The following is a 6263-nucleotide window of genomic DNA, read 5'->3' as shown; positions in this document are numbered from 1 at the left end:
CCATGTTAGGCTTTGTATGAAAGCCCATCACTCCTATTAACACTGTGACTTTGACCTCAATTGGCCCAGGCTCTTCCTGTTCCTCAAGGAGAGGGAAGCAAGTGCACTGGGGAAGATCAGCCCTGGCTTCACTGCAAACTCATCATAGGACCTTGGGCAAGGCCCTTCCTGTGTCTGGGCCTCAGTTTGCCAAACGGTGCAAGAAAGAGCCTCAAAGACTGTAACAGAGGCCAGCTCCAAAGGCCTCTTTGGTACTCTCTGGCTCTAAAATTAAATTTTCTCAAGTGAGAAAAGAGGAAAGGAAGCTGATGAGAGGATAGAAGGGAGCTTTCCACCCTGGAGGCAGGAGGTAGAGGTGGAGAGGCTGAATTAAAGCCATAAAGAGAAAATAGGGAGGCACCGGCCTGTCTCCCCCACCACACACACAAAGGATCCTGCACACAGAGCAGGTCCTTAGGAAAAGCCACTGGCTGCATAAGCCGCTTTGGCTGCTGCCTCTGTTAAGGAAGCATCTCCAGAGAACTGTTTCTAGTCTGTCTGAGCAGGGAGAACCTTGAAGGGTCCTGGAGAAGGGAACGGACTGAGCCGGGGTTTCACAGTGAGCAGGTGGGAGGCAGGACTTGCAAGCACCCTGGCCTCCTGCCTGCAGACTTATGCAGTCTCCAGTGCCCCATGGCCAAATATTCTTGCACTGTCTTCCTTGGATCTTTCCTATGATTTGTGCACATACTGCAGTGAAAATGGCAAAGAGAGATCCTGCAGGGATTGGTAATTTTTCACCGTGGGTGGCACTGAGACTTCCCTGTTCCCTGGAGGAGGGAAATGAAGAGTTGATTAAGTACTCGAAACATCCCTGCCTGTGGACTATTTAATAAGCGCCTCGCCTGTCTCTCAGCCATAGAGCAGACATTTGGTTCGCTAATCCAATTTGGCAAGCCTCTCCCAGGCTGCAAACGCTAGCTGCTGGGCGCCATTTTGTCTGATGTGTTAGAAATCAATGCAGGCTCCCTGCACTTGCTCTCACTACTGCTTGACTGATTACTAACGAGACCTCTCCCTTGCACAAGTCACCGACAGAGAACCCCTCTGTGTTCCAAGAAGCTCTGGGGACCTGGTGATCATCCAGTCATCCCCCTGATTCTCTTAGCAAGGAATCTGAATAAATCAGCAAAAGCAGGTGTGGGACTGCAAAATGTTTTCTTCCTCAACTGAACCAAGCTATGTTTTCCACTTAGCAGGAGGAAGTCTGTAAGAAGGACAATATTTTAGTATCTTCCATAAAAACCACAACAATGGCATTTTCATTTTGATATGTGATAGCTCTTACTCGGACGCAGAATTAGTGCTCGGTGCATCTGTTTCTTTCAACCAACAAGAGCTCTGTTAGTAAGGTTTCTCTTTGCCTTGGCCACCAGGAAGCTTGGATATAAATGCTGGTTCATAGTTTGAGATGCAGGCATATTTCTGCACACTCAGTGAGCTTTCTCACTTCCTTTTTAATAAACATTTTAAAGTCCTATATCATATGTGTTCCTTTAAAAAAATAAATGTGAATTTATCATTTTTCACTACAAACTTGCCTTAAGCTGTTGGAAAGTTCCCTTCTTTCCTTTTTATAGAGAACACTCTTGGAAAAGGAAGATAGAGTGAATGTTTATTTTTTGCCTCCATAATATTAGCTCCTCACAAGGCACAACCAGGATCTTCCTATGGGGTCCAGCACCTCACTCTTAGTCTAGTTGTTCTGGGCACTTTTCTACTCTCTGGCCTAGCAGTGGACATTGTACTTCTTGGGCCATGGTGATGGGGTTTAAGTGACACCTTAACGTAAGGTGGTCCAATAGCAAACATCAGAATTTCTGCTGGAAAATGCTAGGCAAAGATTTCTATCCTTTTCTGCAGGGTCTGAACGTAAAAAGACACAGGCTTAGGGACTGCTAAAAGCCATTTTGTGACCAAAAGGGAAAAGCCTGTCTGAAAATGAGTCAACCTTGAGGAGGAGGAACTGAGAGACAGAAACAGAGGTGCATCCTGACATTACTTGAGCGCCTATATCAAGTTAATCCTGAAGTTTGACAGTGCAGGGATATGAGAGCCAATACATTGACTTTGGGTCTGGTTTCCAGTGACTTACAGCTAAAAGAGTCCTGATAGTTTCTAGAGGTCAGCAAGGGTGTTAACTGCACCTCTGCCTCCAAGTCACCCTATCCCAAGCCCCCTCCTCAGGAGACCCTGTGACCAGTCTGGTATCCTCCCCAGGTAGGCAAAGACAGTCATGGTGTCACTAAAAGCCCCTTTAGTGTCCTGATACAAGTGGGATCAGTCCTTTTTTTTTTTTTTTTTTGAGATGGAGCCTCACTGTCATCCAGACTGGAGTGCAGTGGCACGATCTCAGCTTACTGCAACCTTTGCCTGGGTTGCAGCAATTCTCCAGCCTCAGCCTCCCGAGTAGCTGGGACTACAGGCGCGTGCCACCACGCCTGGCTAATTTTTGTATTTTAGTAGAGACGAGCTTTCACCATGTTGGCCAGGGTGGTCTCAAAGTTCTGACCTCAGGTGATCCACCAACCTCAGCCTCTCAAAGTGCTGGGGTTACAGGAGTGAGCCACCGCTCCCAGCCCAGTCCTTTGTTGATGATCTCTAGGCTTATGTCTGCTGATGGCTTGCAAGTCTATCTCCAGCTGGGTCTCTCTACAGTTCCCCAGCTGGTGCCTCTCGGCACCTTAGCCTCAGCATCTCCCACCACTGTGAAGGCACCTCTGTCCACAGCATCTCTTTTCTCACTCCATTCTGTCACCAACAAATTGATCACCAAGGCCAAGCAGACATCTACCAGATGTCTCTCGAATCCACTTCTGCTTCTAGTTTCCACTGTTTCTGCTTCAATTCAGGTCAAACACTGGTCTCCACATGGAAGCCTCTCCTCCAACTTACTCTCCACGCCTCCATCTGACAACTCCTCCTCAAGTGCTGTCCTTACCTTGCAGCTTCCCTGCTCATAACCCTCGAGGGCTCCCTCCCACCAAACCCCCCATCTGGAATTCAAGACCCTCGTGATCTGATCCCAAACTGTGGAGACTGTAGCAAAAAGCACATCTTTTCCCACAAATACCTCACTTCCCTTCTGCCATATTTTTGTTTACATAGTTTTAATTCCCTCTGTTTCTACTACTGAACTACTACGCATCTGTCAAAACCCAGCTCCAATGCCCCTCCTCTAAGAAAACTTTCTAATTATCCCTCTCTCACCTTAACAGTGGAATTGTAGATTCCCACAGACCTAGAAAAATTATTTTATAAAATCGCATAGGCCACTCTGACAATTTTAGGACCCAGGACAAGTAAAAGAGAACGCTTGTAGCCGACAGTGTCTGTACTCTTCTCTTTCCACCCTCCCCACAACTCCATCCTGCAATGTGAGGAGTCTCGTGCACACAAGCAAGGACCTTCAAGCCCTCACGTCCAAGCTCCACCCCACACCCGCAACAGCCCCTTGCCAACTCCCCCAGTCACTCTTTGGCCATCCCTTGGGGTTGGGGCACCATGGCTTGGGGGAAGAGGCCAATACAGGTCCTGGAAGCAGGCTTGGTCCCTTTGAGCAGGAAATCCCAGGGTGGAGAGTACAGGAGTGAGGTCCAGAGAGTGTGGGCTCTGGGTCGGCCCTCTGCCCTGTGGGGAGGGCACAGCTGGGCCCTCTACAGTCAAGCTGTCACACATCAGTGTGCACACGGATTGGGAGCTCCCACAAGTCTAACAAGCCCCCAGGGCACGAGACGACTGCCAGGCAGCAGCCCATGCCAGGGTCTAAACATGAGACCCGGGTCCAAGGGCGGATGGCAACATTAACTATATGGGGTCTTCTTTGATACATAATGGGTAAAATAAACTTGGAGCTGCAATTCTCCAGAATGCAGCTCAAAAACAGTAAGTTCACAGCAACGGCTTCTGGGTCTCAAAGCTGTGCTGTGCTTTACTTTTACAATTCGGTCTTGCTTACAGATTCTCCAGCAGCCCAGAGAGGCTGTGACTTGGCAGGTCGGTAGATCTGGGACCTCCTGCCTCTACTTCCAGGCCCTTTGTCTGCCTGGTGCTGTGAAGACTGACCAGACCCCGTGGAGCAAGTATTAGAAAGGAATCAGGTCATTTCCTGGGTACACGACTCTGCCAGTGAAAACGAGCCTGCCTGTCACCCCCACAGAGCCAGAACCACCCAAGGTGGAACCTTAAGGATGTCTCCCCAGGGTCTTTGCTTCCCCTGCACCATCTCTCCTGGATCTAATTGTATGTCTGCTTGAGTTGAGGAGTTCCAGACCAGCTTGGGCAACATAGCAAGACTTTGTCTCCACTTTAAAGTTAAAAAAAAAAAAAAAAAAAGCTAGACATAGTGGTGTTCACTATCATCCCAGCTACTCCAGCTACTTGGGAGGCTCAGGCAGCAAGATTGCTTGAGCCTAGGAGTTGAGGCTGCAGTGAGCTATGATCATGCCACCACACTCCAGCCTGGGTGATAGAGCAAGACCTTGTCTCAAAAACAAGAAGATAATTTCTTAAAAATGTATGTCCTCCCTAACTACTCAACCTACTTCTCCCTCAGCAATCTCAGACACAGTTGGGCCTCCTCCCAACTATTTGGCCCCCAGGCGAAAAAAATCTGGCATGAAGGCTGAGAAGCGGAGGAGGGGTAAGAGAGGGCAGAGTTTCCTTCCTTCTTTGTTGTGCCAGGAGTCTTAAACACCCCGTTGAGTTTAAATATGTATATATATTGCCTTAGAGTCACTGATCATCAGGACTGAAAGTACCCTAGTACAATTCTCTCACTTTAATGATGGGGAAACTGAGGCCCAGAGAGGGTGGTAGCTTGCCTGAAGTCCCACAGCAAGTTGGTATGGAGCCATGACTAGGACGTAGGTCTCCTCACTCCAGTCCTGTTCTTGTTCTGCCCCACACTGGCCCTTTGCTAAACTCACCCCTTGCCCCATGTGGCACAGAACAGACCTCCCCCTCTTACTACCTGGGTGAGTTTACAAAAGCCACTTACTCTATCTGAGATTCAGTTTCCTTACTGCTCAGAGGGGAAGAGCATTTCTTACCTGCTGGAGTCATGCAGGTAGAGGAGCCAGCACAGGGTCCAGAATGTGGCAGGTGGTTGAGCCCAGTGTGGGTCCTTTTCTTTGCCCATTATAAGCGTGACAAGGAAAGAAATGGTCCTCAGGTTAGCTTCCTATGGCTGCTGCAACAACTTGTCACAGAGTGTTAACAGCCTCGAATCTGTATGGGTCTGCAGCAACTACAGATTCTTAGCCTCTTTCAAGGAAAGAATTTGTCCAAGGGGCATAAGGCTGAGTGAGAGATGGAGGCAAGTTTTTGAGCAGGAGTGAGTTTATTAAAAAGTTTTAGAGCAGAAGGCCAGGTGTGGTGGCTCATCCCTGTAATCCCAGCACTTTGGGAGGCTGAGATGGGACCATCGCTTGAGGCCAGGAGTACGAGACCAGAGACCAGCATGGTCAACATAGCGAGATCTATCTCTTAAAAAACAAACAAAAATGTTTTAGAGCAGGAACAAAAGGAAGTAAAGTACACTTGGAAGAGAACCAAGCGGGTGACTTGAGGAATCCAAGTGGGCTGTCTGACCTTTGACCTCTGACCTTGTTTACACGTTGTCATGCTTCCTGGCGGTTGCATCTCTCCTCCCTTGATTTTCCCTTGGGGCAGGCTGTTCACATGCACAGTGGCCTGCCAGCATTTGGGAGGGGCCGTATGCACAGTGTGTTTACTAAAATTGTACACATGCTCACTTGAGGTGTTTTTCTCTTACCAGTTGAGAGTTCTCAGAGGAAGGTCACATGCCAGTTAAATTCTGCCATTTTGCCTCTTAGTTCACATGCTTGAGCCACTTGCCTCATCTTTTTGTGTGTTTTTTTTGAGACAGAGTCTCACTCCATCCGTCGCCCAGGCTGAAGTGCAGTGGCGAAATCTTGACTCACTGCAGCCTCCACCTCCCAGGTTCAAGCAATTCTCCTGTCTCAGCCTCCTAACTAGCTATGACTACAGGCGCCTGCCACTATGCCCAGCTAATTTTTGTATTTTAGTAGAGATGGGGTTTCACCATGTTGGTCAGGCTGGTCTCGAACTCCTGACCTCAGGTGATCCACCCACCTCAACCTGCCAAAGTGCTGGGATTACAGGCGTGAGCCACTGCACCCAGCCACTTGCCCGATATTATTGGGAAGTGGCTGATCACCAGCTTCAGGTGTTTTCTATCT

Source organism: Homo sapiens, chromosome 9, assembly GCF_000001405.40.
Source record: "Homo sapiens chromosome 9, GRCh38.p14 Primary Assembly".
NCBI lineage: Eukaryota > Metazoa > Chordata > Mammalia > Primates > Hominidae > Homo > Homo sapiens.
Note: the sequence above shows the minus strand (reverse complement) of the source record.